At 36.5% G+C, this 14,593-nt stretch overlaps 1 protein-coding gene across 7 annotated transcripts in view; it reads left to right on the plus strand.

Annotated features, from left to right (window-relative positions):
- Nucleotides 1-13,783, plus strand: part of DAPP1 (dual adaptor of phosphotyrosine and 3-phosphoinositides 1) — a 55,507-nt gene extending 41,724 nt beyond the window's left edge. For 2 of the 7 annotated variants that reach the window (NM_014395.3, XM_011531843.4), the window contains 5 exons: nt 3,028-3,075; nt 4,460-4,522; nt 5,220-5,305; nt 7,484-7,571; nt 9,567-11,640. In NM_014395.3, the coding sequence (NP_055210.2) occupies nt 3,028-3,075; nt 4,460-4,522; nt 5,220-5,305; nt 7,484-7,571; nt 9,567-9,635 (354 nt within the window). In that variant the 3' untranslated portion in view covers nt 9,636-11,640. Of the gene's footprint in view, nt 1-3,027; nt 3,076-4,459; nt 4,523-5,219; nt 5,306-7,175; nt 7,287-7,483; nt 7,572-8,006; nt 8,069-9,566; nt 11,641-13,603 lie in introns of those variants that run through there. The other 5 variants (XM_017008024.2, NM_001306151.2, XM_017008023.2 and 2 more) reach the window with 5 other exon arrangements.
- Nucleotides 13,784-14,593: the final 810 nt, after the last annotated feature.

The following is a 14,593-nucleotide window of genomic DNA, read 5'->3' on the forward strand; positions in this document are numbered from 1 at the left end:
TGTTTGGGGTGAGGTTATTTGAGACTATAAGAATATTCTGTTACTTATTAAATTTTTACTTGCCAATTTTAGCATTTACTGATGTGTCTTGGCTGTTTTAATCATTACTATGATTGTTACCAAACGATGACTCTCTGATTTTCTTATTCCTTTTTACATTCATTGGTTGTCATTCTACTGTAAGGAAAAGCTTTTTATTCTTCAAAATTTTCAATCATTTTTATATCAAATGGTTATAATCATGACTATCATTATTTATTTTGATCCTTCAAAATTTCCCTGATTTGGCCAGTCGGGGAAAGAGCCCTTTCAAGTGGTGTCTGTGTTCATATGACCTCAAAAAAAATTTTTTTTTTTTGGAGACAGTGTGTCACTCCGTCACTCTGTCTCCCAAGCTGGAGTGCAGTGGTGTGATCACGGCTCATGAAGCCTCGACCTCCTGGGTTCAGGTGACTCTCCCTCCTCAGCCTCCTGAGTAGCAGGGACTACAGGTGTGTACCACCACTCCTGGCTAATATTTGTATTTTCATTTTTTTATTTTTTTTTGTAGAGTCAAGGTTTCACCATTTTAACCAGGCTGGTATCGAACTCCTGGGTGCAAGCAATGCTCATGCTTCAGCCTCCCAAAGTGCTGGGATTATAGTTGTGAGCCTCCGTGCCTGGCCTGGCCTCAAAATTCTTTTAAGAACTTTCTTACTTTCTGAATAGCAAGATGATCCAGACTTATCTTGTTCTTTCTTTGTACCCAGCTCTAGAACCAGCTATTTCTCCAAGAAACTCTGCTCTTTTTCCACAGAATAGTACTCTAGAAATCGACATCTAGGTACTATGTGCTTATTGTTATCAGGATGTCACTCTCCCAGCCCACTCAGTGAGCAGAGCTGGGAAAATATGTATGTATATACATATGTACACATATATACTTTTACATCTGTATTTATCTGTCGATTCATTCATCGATCCATGAGTTCACAACAATGCTTCCAATACCACAAAGTTCATTCTAGTGTTTTCCCTTCTCCCACAGTGAGAAAATATGGATCTTATCATCCTCAGTACACTTATGTGGTGATCAATTGAATATAAGCAATCTCCCATTGCTGTTTCTACTACTCAACCCTTACCCCGACACTCCAACCACCCAGTCATGCTTCAATGCTCAGTTCCAGGCCACTGCTGCTCCCACCCTCACTACAGATGTCCACCTAGCCCAACTTGGCTCTGAAACTGTGCAGTAGCTGCCACCTCCACCCCTTCAGGCAGAAGCCCTCCACACCCTGCCAGGCTTCAATGCCTCGCACACAGCTGCTGCTGCCACTGTCACTGCCAGTGTCCACACAGAGGCTCCCTGTGCCCTACTTGGGCTCCACCACCCTGTACTAAGGTGCTTGAAAGCCCTCCACACACACATCAATGCCTGCCTTGCTTCACCTGAACTGTGTTGGCTACTGACTTCATTTAAGGCTGGCAGGCAAGTAGGTAGTAGGATGGCAGGAAGGACAGTCCTTTGTTTTTGAACATTTAGATGGTACCCCAATGGGGGCTCTTATAAACAGCTTTTCTGTTACAGTTCATAGATTTTTAAAGATAAATGTGCTCTATAATTATTTACTTTCTTACATCTGGAGACCCTGAATAAAATTAATAGTCTCATTGCTTTCCCATGCAGCCTTTGGCTTACCTATCAAAACCTTAGAAGAATACTACACTTATAGTACATTGTTTGGGTGGAGGTAAGATGGGATTATTCCCTAGCTTGATTTTAGTAAATAATTCTATCAGGATCTTTTATACAACAATTTACTCCTAGTTATTTTGCCTCTACAGATTTTAACCTGCAACAGCCCAAAATAATTACTTTTTGCCATTCCTATAACACCTGAATTCAACTGAGTCAATTCAATTTATTTAATGTTAAAATAAATCACACCAATTATGAGATATCAAATTCACCAATATTGATTAATATTATTTAAGTGAACATTTGGTTAGTTTATCCTTACTTTTATATCATAAGATTTTAAAAGAAGTGTTTGCTTATTTCCTGCTTTAACTCTTTTTATTGTGGTAGAGATGGTTGTTCCTCTTTTTATTTGGTTGGGAAAATTCACCTTGGAAAAAAATATTCTGGAAATTACCATAGAAAGAACCTTGGTGTCAACCAAATCACTTCCCAATTTTTGTTAATTTTGTTTCTTACTAAGACATATGATGACATCACATTTGAACAAAATATTCTACCACGAATTGAATTTCTTGTGGAATTTATGAAATGATAAATTTCTTGATGTTAAGCTACTTGTCTTATGCAAATTTCTGTTCACACAATTCTCCACCCTTATATTTCGTAGGTGTTAGCTAAGTGTGTGCTATTATTTTTACGTTTGAATTAATGACAACATGAGTTAAAAGAACTGGCTCATTCTTATTTCAGATTCATTTTGGGTAAATCAGGTGTAAATAAATCTACGCTCCTGACAGTCTGTTTTTTGGAACATGGATCTCAAGAGAGTGTGGGGGTGGGGAGGAGGATTATGTGATAAAATAAATAGTAAAAATGCTATTTCTAAGGTTCCCTCTTAAAAATTTACAAAGTATATTAGCATAATACAGACTCTGGGAAGCCCTGAAGTAAAAACATCCTTTTAGTTTTCTTAATCCAGTCTCCCAAACGTATTGACAGTAGATGTGTGCGTGTTTATGTGCTAATAACCCTGTAACAATCCAAACAGCTGGATTTCACATGACACACCTTGACAAACACAGACTTTTATAAGTGAAATGATGTCGTTTATTGTTTGCAAATTGCTAACTGGAGTTAGGAGCTACAGAATGATGCCAGTAGATCCAGTCTGAAAACAATCTCTCACAACACATGGAAGCTTTTCAAGTGCCTAGGTGAAAAATGATAGACAGTAATTTAAAGATCAAAAGCAAACATTCTTCATTTAAAAATAGGACATGAAAGGAAGGACAAACGTCCTGTTGTGACAGTTCTGGTCTTCACTCAGTGCTTTTCTTTTTCAGCTGGGCACCAAAGAAGGTTACCTCACCAAACAGGGAGGCCTGGTCAAGGTAAGGAAGTGTGGTTTTGCTCATGCCAGCCACAGAAAAAAGAGAACACGTCATGTAGACTCAATTCTCATCTTGATAGTTTTTCTTGGAAGCATAATTGCCTGCTCATTTTAACCCATTTGTAATATTCACCTGACTCAAGAGTTCATTTTTATGGCTCATTAGTCAAAATTCTGGAAAATGACTTGACTGTTCTTTGACAAAGCCCTGCATAGGTGTAGCCTGCAGTTAAAAGTCAATAAAACATAGTCCTCATAATGGAATGATTGAGGATGAAGATAGCAAGTTTACTCTAGAACATCTTTCGTTCTTCTTCTAAAACAAGGAAGAAGTCAAAATTGTATAAAATGTTTCTTTAAGGATAGGCCAAAAACATCACTGATGCTACTGAAACTATGTTATAAAATCCAAAGAAAAACACAATTTAAGCTCTTACAAGTTCAGAGTATCCAAATGTTCCCCATTTATGAGACTGTATCTTTAGAATTCCTTTGTTTCATCTCAATGTGCCAAGAAGACCTTCATGGAATGTGTCTGCTCCTTCTCGTTTTAAGAGTCACGGTATTTAACCTCTCACAGACACTGACATGCTTGGAATTAGCCTAAATAATTTCATTATTTGTGTCCCTTCTAGATCGAATGCTCCCTGAGGACAGAGAGTATTCATATTCATAGCATATTTATGTTTAAATCCTCTGTTACTTCTTTTAACTGGGCACATTGACACCCAGGATAGAGTAGGATGCTGTTTGTATATAAGAAGGTAACAGCGGGCAATGATGGTTTTTACCACTGATACCTTGGAGTTCTTAGGCAAGGTTTAGAATATCATGTGAGTCAGGGTTCCTAAACCTCAGTTTTGTTGTTTGTAAGACAAGAATAATAATACTGGCATTGTTGTGTGAGGATTGGATATAATATATAAAGCCTCCAATGATAGTATATCGTCCATATTAGGTACTCAAAGAACAATATTTATCTTTATTATAGAGTTAATAAAATGGAAATTGTAGTGGTTTGTTATAAGTCACATTGAATATTTATGATAGACTAATTCTTTTTGTATTTAAAAATATACTAATGATATATCTGCCTTCATTATGAGCTTAATGCATGAAATTAATTTTTATAGATATTTTGAAACTTTTTTCTCAGAAATGACACAAAAGAATTTTTTGAGCTTAATGCATGAAATTATTTTAATTTTTATAGATATTTTGAAACTTTTTTCTCAGAAATGACACAAAAGAATTTTTTCAGGGTTATAGTATTTAATTTTTTAGATACTTTTAAAATGAAAGTAAATCATCTGGTTCAAATATTACATTCCTGTATTCAAAACTTTGTGTGTCTGTGTGTTTGTGTGTGTGTGTGTTTTTCTCAGACCTGGAAAACAAGATGGTTTACTCTGCACAGGAATGAACTGAAATACTTCAAAGACCAGATGGTGAGAAACATGATAATATATTTTTCCTTTAAAAATCAATTCTCTAGATGAAAGAAACTTAGGTCTTTAAAATCTCTGAAATTATTTTTATATCCACCTGAAATACCTAATAAATGATTGGAGATATGAATTCTTGATTCCTGAAATGAGCAGAGTTATTTTGCAAAGATGAGATGTATGTCCCAGAAATTGCTTTCTTGGATTGGCTAAACCATAGTTCCCCAGGGCACGTAATTCCCTCTGTTTAGGACAATGTAATTATTCTCTTGCCACAATTTATTAACTGTCTCTTTGCAGCAATTTGTCCCTTTATTAAAAATACAGTTTCTCCATTTCCCATGCCCATTTCATTAAGCCAATTTAAAATTATTTTTTCTCACTTTTCTTATATAACATTTCTAAGAAAGTAGAAGTTTTAAAAAATGAGAGAAAAATATACCTCTCTTCCATGTGTTAAAATCCATCTTCATCAGTAAGTTGATAAAGGTAGTAACTTAATGCCCAGTTTTATGAAAGGCTCATTCCAAAACCAAGGACTTCCCTTGGTAGGGCTTTTCTATTGTCAGTCCTGTTAGTGAAAGGAAATATGACAATTGCACATAGTGGAAAACTTGTGAGGGGAATAAGTGAGGGACAGATTTGTCTGTTTTTTTTTTTTTTTTTAATGGTGACATACGTTGCTTTTTATTTTATTTAGTCACCAGAACCAATTCGGATCCTAGACCTAACAGAATGTTCAGCTGTACAATTCGATTATTCACAAGAAAGGGTAAACTGTTTTTGGTAAGTTGTTTTATAAAGAAAACGTTTTTTAATGTCTTCTTGCCAGACACTTATTTTGGCTAAGGAATAGAAAGCTGTATATCTTAATGTCTACAAAGATCAGATATGAGGGGCATGCCTGCATGTAAGGAGTGTTTTCAGCTGAGTGTGACATAACACCTCATTTAAAGTAGCTTAAACAAACAGGCAGGTCAGCTCAGCTTATGTTGCGTACTGGAGAAGTATGACTCACATAGAGGATGCCATTCACATCTTAGACAATTTAATTTCTTTGAGGCTTTCTCCCTCATTTTATTTATAACTTTGTTGACTCTAATGATAGGTGATTTGTATTGTTATGACAATTTCTGGCAAATGGCACAAAAATATTTTGTTCTAACATAATCAGTATGTTATAAAAATGTTCTAACTGGGAGAAGAGTCTTGAGAAAGGAATGTCTTATTTCCCACTACCTTTTATTTTAAAGTTTTTCAAGCATACACAAGTTGAAAGACATACGTTTACATACCCTCCATAGCAGTTATTAATATATCTTACCATATTTGCTTTATCCTAGTCTATCCACTTTTTTTTTTTCCTGAACCAATTGAAAGTAAGTTGCAGACATCATGGCACTTTATTCCTAAAGACTTTAGTATGTGTCTCTTAAGAATAAAATATCACATATAGGACTACAGTATCATTATTACAACTGAAGAAATTAATGTTAATTCTATAATATCAACTGAGAATGGGTGTCTTTTTAAAATTTGCATAGACATGCCCTGTGAGCTAGCAGAGCTTTATTTTTCTCATATATCCAAAAATCAGGAGGCAAGCAGCTATGGTGACAAGGTCAGGTCCAGGGTCTCTACTGTTCTCCTGGCCTTTTCTCATGCTGGCTACTTCAGGATTTGAGTGTCTACTACACCTGTAGGTCTCATATTTTCAACAAAGTACAAAGAAAGATGTAGGGATGATATTACCCGTGTCTGTCCCTTTTTATCAGGAAAACCAATGTTTCTCCAGAAACTCCCCTATGAGACCGGGTGCCATGGCCATCCCCAGCAGCTGATCATAATTGGCTTAAACAAATTAGGATTTATTGCTTGGGGTTCTGTTAGCAAAAGAAAGGGATAATTATCTGTATTAATAGACAGTTAATAATGTCTCCCATAGGGAGTACCAAACAATGACAATGACAGAAACCAGTTTTCGAGTATATGCACTGTATCACTCCCTCCCCACCACTGTCCACTCACTCTCCACTAGACCTCACATCCAGGTATTAGCTTCTATGCACAGAGACTTACCTCTTACCTATTCAACTTTAATTGCTGGTATCAACAAAATACACTGCTTAGGCTTTAAGATATAGAAACCCTTCTGAAGGCTTTTTCACAAAAAGAAAAAAGATTTTTGGTATTTTTGCATCTCAACTGTAAGTAAGGAAGTATGTTCAGTATGTAATTTAGGGCTGACCTTATTGCTTACATAATTTTAACTAGGTAATCAGACACAGTCAAATGAAAAATTACTATACATTTAGGAAAAGTATTTTGTGCCAGTAGGAAAGTTCTTATTCCCTGCAGCAGAGACTGACTCTTGGCCAGAGATGGGAGAAATAACTAATTTAGTTTTATTGTCTCTTTTTATTGTCCCAATAGTTGAAATTGCCCACAACCACAGAAGGCAGAGTTATCCTCGTTGAAGCAAGCTAACACAAATGAGTTCTTTTTAGCAAACTTCTCTGTCTTGCCTATTCTTTGGATCATAGCACAAGTTTTTGAGAGATCAGCTGAATGAATACATAAGTGTTAGAGTTAACCTAAGACATGAACCACAAAAGGATCTAGGGGTGTCCTGAACATGTTTCTTTCTTCTTCAAAGTCTTATTCGAGTATATACATCTGACTTGGAATAATAATATGAATCTACAACTTCCTTAACATTTCTGCAGTTTGCTGGCAGGAGTAGGTGCATATATACCAGCACTTCAAGGTACTTACCTGCATCCTTTATCAATTCTTTTTTCCCTTGCAATACTCTAATTAGTGTTCAACTAATATATATATATATATATATATATAATATATATAATATATTATATTATATATTATATTATATATATTATATATATATATATATATATAGCTAATGATCTGCAATATCTTATGTTCTTTCTTTTGTCCTATTAGTTTGGTATTTCCATTCAGGACATTTTATCTCTGTGCAAAGACCGGAGTAGAAGCTGATGAGTGGATCAAGATATTACGCTGGAAATTGGTGAGAATTTTTAAGCCTTCAGATGTCAAGTCTTGAGAAATAACATGTTGATGATTTCAAACATATTTCTATCAAAAGAGTCAGACTAGACCCAAGAATCAAAGAGATGTCTGGGTGTCTACTTCCAGGCTTGCGGAACAGTCTGTTAATTCTTCTGGGACATGAGAAGAGATGGAGACAGGATTGTAAAAAAGAAAGAATTAAGCCATATTTGGGTCTTAGACATAGAGCCTTAGCCTAATAACCACCTATCAGACTTCCTATAAGGTGTGTCAGTTAGTTCAGTTTTGTCTGGAGGGGGACATTTAGAACCAGAAGGTCTGACAGAGGAAAGCTGACATACTTCTCTAGTTGAAAAGCCTTTTAAATTGTTAGAGAAGAAAGTTTGCCAGAGGCACTTAGCTTAGTTTCCAATGTAAGCATCACTTTGTGCAGGTCAAGGACAAAAGCTGATTTATTTTGTCTGCTCTCTGTATATCTCCCGAGGAGAAGACTGAGTGAGTACTTATAAAACTTCACCAATCTTCTACTTGTTTTTCATGTGCTTGCAAGTTAGTGAGTTCTTAGCCAAGAACTTGTCCTTAAAGCTGACTAAAATTTCCTATAAATACCATCTTAAAAACTTTGATGATTTCTTTTTTTCTATTTTTTTTTTTTTTTTTTTTTGAGACAGAGTCTCGTTCTGTTGCCCAGGCTGGAGTGCAGTGGTGTGATCTTGGCTCAGTGCAACTTCTGCCTCTTGAGTTCAAGTGACTTTCATGTCTCAGCCTCCCGAATAGCTGGGATTATAGGAGCTTGCCACCACGCCTGGTTAATTTTTGTATTTTTAGTAGAGAAGGGGTTTCACCATTTTGGCCAGGGTGGTCTCGAACTTCTCACCTCAAGTGATCCACCAGCCTCAGCCTCCCAAAGTGCTGGGATGACAGGTGTGAAGCACCATGCCCGGCCAGATGATTTCAAACAAAATATTTTTCTTAATTATTTTTTGCAAAATTGTCTGATATATATGAAAATTCCTTTCTAGATACTGAGACTTTTGCTTTCAGTTATGTTTTCAGTTTGAAATTCAAATAAGTATACCATTCATTTTTAAATTCTTCCAATGTATCAGTGAGGGATAATTTGTCTTGTGAAACCTTTGCTCAGATATGGATTAATTTCTTATTCTTTCTATTTTTAATTATCAAAGTAACACAAAATCATTATACAAGAATTATAGAAAAATATATCAAGTATACACACTTTTAGACTTCTCTCTTTACACATAAATATTTAAAAACAAAATTTAATCACTTGCTAGAAGTAAAAACCACAATGATGTACCACTACACACCCTTCAGAACGGATACAATGAAGACTGTCAATATCAAGTATTAGCATGAATGCGAAGGAACTAGAACTCTCCTACATTGCTAGAGGGAATGAAAATGTGTACGGCTACTTTGAAAAATTGCTTGGCAGTTTCTTTTAAAACTATACATATACCTACACTATAATTCAGCATTTTCATGCTTAGGTATATCTAAGAGAAATGAGTGCATGTATCCACTAAAAAATGTTACAATAATGTTCATAGCATCTTTATTGATAATATACAAACTCCAAACAAAACAAATCACTTGCCAGTGTTCTATATTTGCTCACTTCACTTAGCAATATATTATGAACATTTTTCCATATTATCAATTTTAGATCTATATCTTCCTTTTAACTCATTGAATAGTATTGCATTTTATAGATTACTGTAAGTATTAGACCAATTCCCAATTTGTACATGTTTTAGCAATCACTTTACAATATGTGTCCTAAAAAAAAATACAGAAAATTTTTCTGGACACATGATAATTAGCTTATAGTTGGGGGTGAGCACATGATAATTAACTTAGAGTTGTATGACATCCTTACTAATCAACATGTCTTATTTAATATTTGTTAGAAGCCAGGGTTCATTACAATCACTCAATAATGGATACACGTGTGTGTACTTTATTACAGTCACAAATAAGAAAACAGCTCAACCAAGGGGAAGGCACGATCCGATCTCGGTCGTTCATCTTTAAATAGATCTTTCTTGCCAAGGAATGCTCTGGCCCAGGAGCAAGGTGGAATGTTTCCCTGACGCTGTGATCTGCAGCAGGCTTCAAATGAAAACCGACTAAGGATTTTCTTTCAAAAACAAATCAGAAGCAGATGCTGATTGGGACCCATATACCACGTTGCTGACTCACGTTGCTGCCCTTCCATGATGTTGCCATCTCCTTGAGAACACTGAAGCAATCACCATTCTGATAGAAAGTGCTTAAACCACCACTCTTAGGTCTGCTCACTCTTAGAACACACAATGGAAGAGGAAGGGTTTTTGTTTTCACTCATTGTGGTCCCCAAGCCTATTGACACTAGTTGCCTAGAGTCCCACTGTGAGTCATGGTCAGCCTGTCTGACATCCAGGTTGTGCTATTAACCAAGAAGGAAACAGATACTTGGAGGCTTAGATGACTTCTGCAGGATTTATATTCAGATAGAAAACATCAAATATTTTCAGGGGAGAGGTTTTTTTTTTTAATTTTTCCCCCTTTATACAAAAAAAAAAGAACATTTCCAAAACTAAAATAGAAAATGCTTGTGGCATTTATTTTCTCTTTTTAAAAGGTTCAGAAATTTGGCAGGTCCTTTGCTTCTAATGACAAAACTGTGAGAGCTAGATGTCCTATGGGCAATTAGGTAGTATAATAAAGGTAAATGAAGGTACAATTTTTAAACCATTATTTTCACCCTGTTGGGGTAAATGTTTTAAAGAGTGAGAAAACATAAATTGAGAAAGGGTGATAAAGTAATAGATAACTTTTAGTTTAATAATAATTATTGTTATTATACTACTAATAATAGAGCACTTGTAAGCACTAAGTTATCTTTATCCAACATTTCTCCAAATGGACTGAAAGAAACTTTTCAAGGACAGTGTATTATAACAATCCCTTTCCCAGAATTAGTTGTATAGGGTTGGCCCAAGAGATGTAAGAAAAATCTCGCATTGCTCCCTAAGCACCCTGGGCCTTATTAAAGAGCAACTTCTATTTCCAGTCGGGGGAGTAACACTAAAGCTACAAGAAATATGTAATAATGATAGGTAATAATGTGTTCCAAAGCTTTTTCAAACTAGAATAAGGAGGCAAATAGAAGAATGAGATACTGATGTCCACAGTTCATTGGCAGAATCTAACCCCTTCTGTTATCTTTTTTAATACTATTTTTGTTTAGATAGAAGTTTCAAAGAAGATAAAAATGCTTGAAGAGCCTGAGAGTAAAAAGATTATGCTGCAAAGCTATGATATAAACTGCTCTTGCAGTCCAAAGGGATACCTGATTAAAGAAGTTTCTTATTTAAACATCTCAGACGCAAAAATTACATTAAATTTTTGTATATTTCAACAACATTTTAAATGTATTTTGTTATGTTTGTATTATATAGGATAAAGCAAATGTCAAGTTAAAATGTATTGTGTTGTTTGTAAAGTAAGAAGTTACTGGCCAGGAGCGGCGGCTCATGCCTGTAATCCCAGGACTTTGGTAGGCCAAGACAAGCAGATCACTTGAGGTCAGGAGTTCAACATCAGCCTGGCCAACATGATGAAACCTTGTCTTTACTAAAAATACAAAAATTAGCTGGGCATGGTGGCAGGCGCCTGTAATCCCAGCTACTCAGGAGGCTGAGGCAGGAGAATTGCTTGAACCCGGGAGGTGGAGGTTGCAGTGAACCAAGATCGCGGCGCTGCACTCTAGCCTGGGTGACAGAGTCAGACTCCGTCCCAAAAAAACAAACAAACAAAACAAAACAAAAAAAAACAGAAGTTACAAATGAATACTCACGGATATGTATAGTTTTATGTTTGTTTTCTTAGAAACAAATGTGTTTCTTTGGGTGGGTAATATTGTGTTTTACTATGTTTACCTTTTATAAAACATAACCTGTTTATTTATATTCTTTGGCTTTGTTTATTAAAAAGCATGATTTTGCTGTGCATGTACCATTTTGCTATTAAAATTTATTTTTAATATTTGTAACTTGAAAGAAATATACAACTGATTAATATCATAAATAGCAATGAAGAATTCACTTCAGTTAGACTATTAACCACAAAGGATTGGAAGTTGAAGAAATAGTCCAAGGCCTCAAGGAGTTCTTAGTTGAATATGGAGAAAACAATAAACATATATATATATATATGCGTGTATATATATATACATATGACAATATATAGCAGTAAATAAGATCATTACTGTAAGAGAAGTACACAAAGCTATCTGATGGAGCAGGTGCTTCAGCAGGGGATACAACAATTTGTTGGAGGGTTTTGACATGAAAAGGGTGAGCTAACATGTACCTGCTATGTAACTAGTACTAGACTAGGTGTTTTGCCTGCCCTCAGCAGTCCTGCAAAGAAATGATTCTAACTCCCAAGTGGAGCCTGTGAGGGTTCCTCAGCTATTTCTCCAAGTCCAGAGAGAGGGAGGATGTTTTGTGCCAACGGCAGATCAGAGCAGGGGAATATGGGAGAAAAGAGAGTGGGCTATCTGCATTATACCCTGTCTGCTAACAGGTATGAGCTTATCATTAAGACAAAGTATTCGCAGTTATTCTCAGAATTCCCTCTGGGAAAATCCTGGCCCACAGGAGCAGTTTTCTCTGGACAAATGGTGACACCAACATGGTGAGGGAAGGCTAATACAGATGGTTCCTGACTTACAATGATTTGATTTAGGATTGTTCAACTTCACAATGGGTCTATTGGGGTATTAAATGCATTTTCTCCTTATGATATCTTTGACTTAAAATGAGCTTATTGGAATGGAACCCCATCATAAGTCAAGGAACATCTGTACTGTTTCTGGGGGAAACCTTCCCCCTATGCCAGAACACCTGGACATCAGAGAACTCGGTGGGGCAGGACCCTTCTTTTCCCAACCACATGGCATGCAAGAGAGTGGGTTCCTCTCTCCTTATTTCTCACAAGGGCTTGGCATGCAGGTCAGGGCATTATGCTGTGTCCCTGTTTCAGGCAGAAAGCAAGAGAACTACTGTAAGGAGAAGGTCAGTTCTACTTCCTTCCCTCTCCACTACTTCAGATCCACTGCAGCAAATCCATGTTTCTACCAGACTCTTCCTAGCCAAGTATACTACACAGCAGAGTGCCAGGCTGAGCCTACGGTCTGCTCTCTATGAATTCAGGCTGTCTGACCATGATGTCAAGCAGAGTTTCTTAAACCATCTATTGCAAAGGATCTTATTTTCTTTTTTTTTTAAATTTATAATCTATCACAGACTGAGATTTCATAAAATTCAATAAATTTTTAGAAAAATCAAGAAAAAAATACAAATATCACAATCCCAGTTTATTATTATCAGATTCAACAGGCATAAAGTTACTATCTCAAATTGTTGTAAGTTTTTCAACACTTAAAACTGGCATTTCTGTACTTATCTTGCTAGCAAACAGTGTGCACAACAGCCCAGTCTGTGGACCACGTTGTGAGTAGCACAGGTCTAGCTGACTGGCAGGTAAAAGGAAACAGCCTTCTTGAGAAAGAATTCACCTGAAGATAGGAAGGGTTGAGGTTGAGTTGCACATGCTTTGTTGATGGAATACAGGCATCATTAGAGGGGAAAGGTGATTCGGAGCACATTCTTGACTGTTACTCAGCCCCTCCTCAGCAAAATCTAAAAGAGCTATTTCACCAGTCTCCAGTGGCCAGACAATGAGATTGTAAGTTGTGTCACATTTTCAGCTGTGAACAAAGATGGCACCCTTGGCCTTAAGCAGGGGTTGTGTGCCCTTGTAGACAACAGCAGCCACAACCTGACTTAGCAGTAGCAACAATGGCCAGGGTTGTGGGGCATAATCATCCCAGAGAGCAAGAACAAAGAAAAAAAAATGGCAGATGCCATATAGTTTCAGGAGTACATGTGAAGAAGGGTCTATGAGGACTTCCAGAAATATCTGGGAGGCATTTGAGAATGACCATATTTTCCACAGAAAAAGCAAGATTGGAGCCAGAGAAGTTAGACCAGCAGGTCCCTGATCCCATCCTACGGTTATTTCCCCAGTTCCAGATGCATCGTTGGTATAGCCATCCAGGCATACCTTGAAGATATTGCAGGTTTGGATCCACACCACCACAATAAAGCAAATATTGCAATAAAGTAAGTCACACCATTTTTTTTTGTTTCCCAATTCATACTAAAGTTATTGCTAAAAAAAATTATAATGATCATCTGAGCTTTCAGCAAGTTGCAATCACTTTGCTGGTGGAGAGTCTTGCCTGGATGGTGATGGCTGTTGACTGATCAGGGTGATGCTTGTTAAGGGTTGGGGTGGCTGCAGCAATTTCTGAAAATAAGACAAAAATGAAGTTTGCTGCATCAATTGATTCTTCCTTTCCTGAAAGCTTTCACTGTAGCATAAGGTGCTGGTTGATAGCATTTTACTAACAGTAGAATTTCTTTCAAAATTGCAGTCAATCCTCTCAAACCCTGCAACTGCTTTATCAACTAAATTTATGTAACATTCTAAATCTTTTGTTGTCATTTCAAAAGTTCACAGCATCTTCACCAGAAGTAGATTTCATCTCAAGAAACCACTTTATTTGCTCATCCATAAGAAACAACTCATCATCCATTGAAGTTTAATCATGAGATTGCAGCAATTCAGTCCCATCTTCAGGCTTCACTTCTAATTCTAGTTCTCTTACTATTTCCATCACATCTGCTGTTACTTCCTCCACTAAGTCTTGAACCCCTCATAGTCATTCATAAGGGCTGAAATCAAGTTCTTCTCCACTCCTGTTAATGTTGATATTTTGACCTCCTCCTGTAAATCACAAACGTTCTTATTTTTGTTTGTTCTTTGGGTTTTGCGTGTGTGTGTGTGTGTTTTGTTTGTTTGTTTGTTTGTTTTTGAGATGAAGTCTCACTCTGTCACTCAGGCTGGAGTGCAGTGGTGTGATCTCAGCTCACTGCAGCCTCC

Source organism: Homo sapiens, chromosome 4 (assembly GCF_000001405.40).
Source record: "Homo sapiens chromosome 4, GRCh38.p14 Primary Assembly".
NCBI classification, from domain to species: Eukaryota; Metazoa; Chordata; class Mammalia; order Primates; family Hominidae; genus Homo; species Homo sapiens.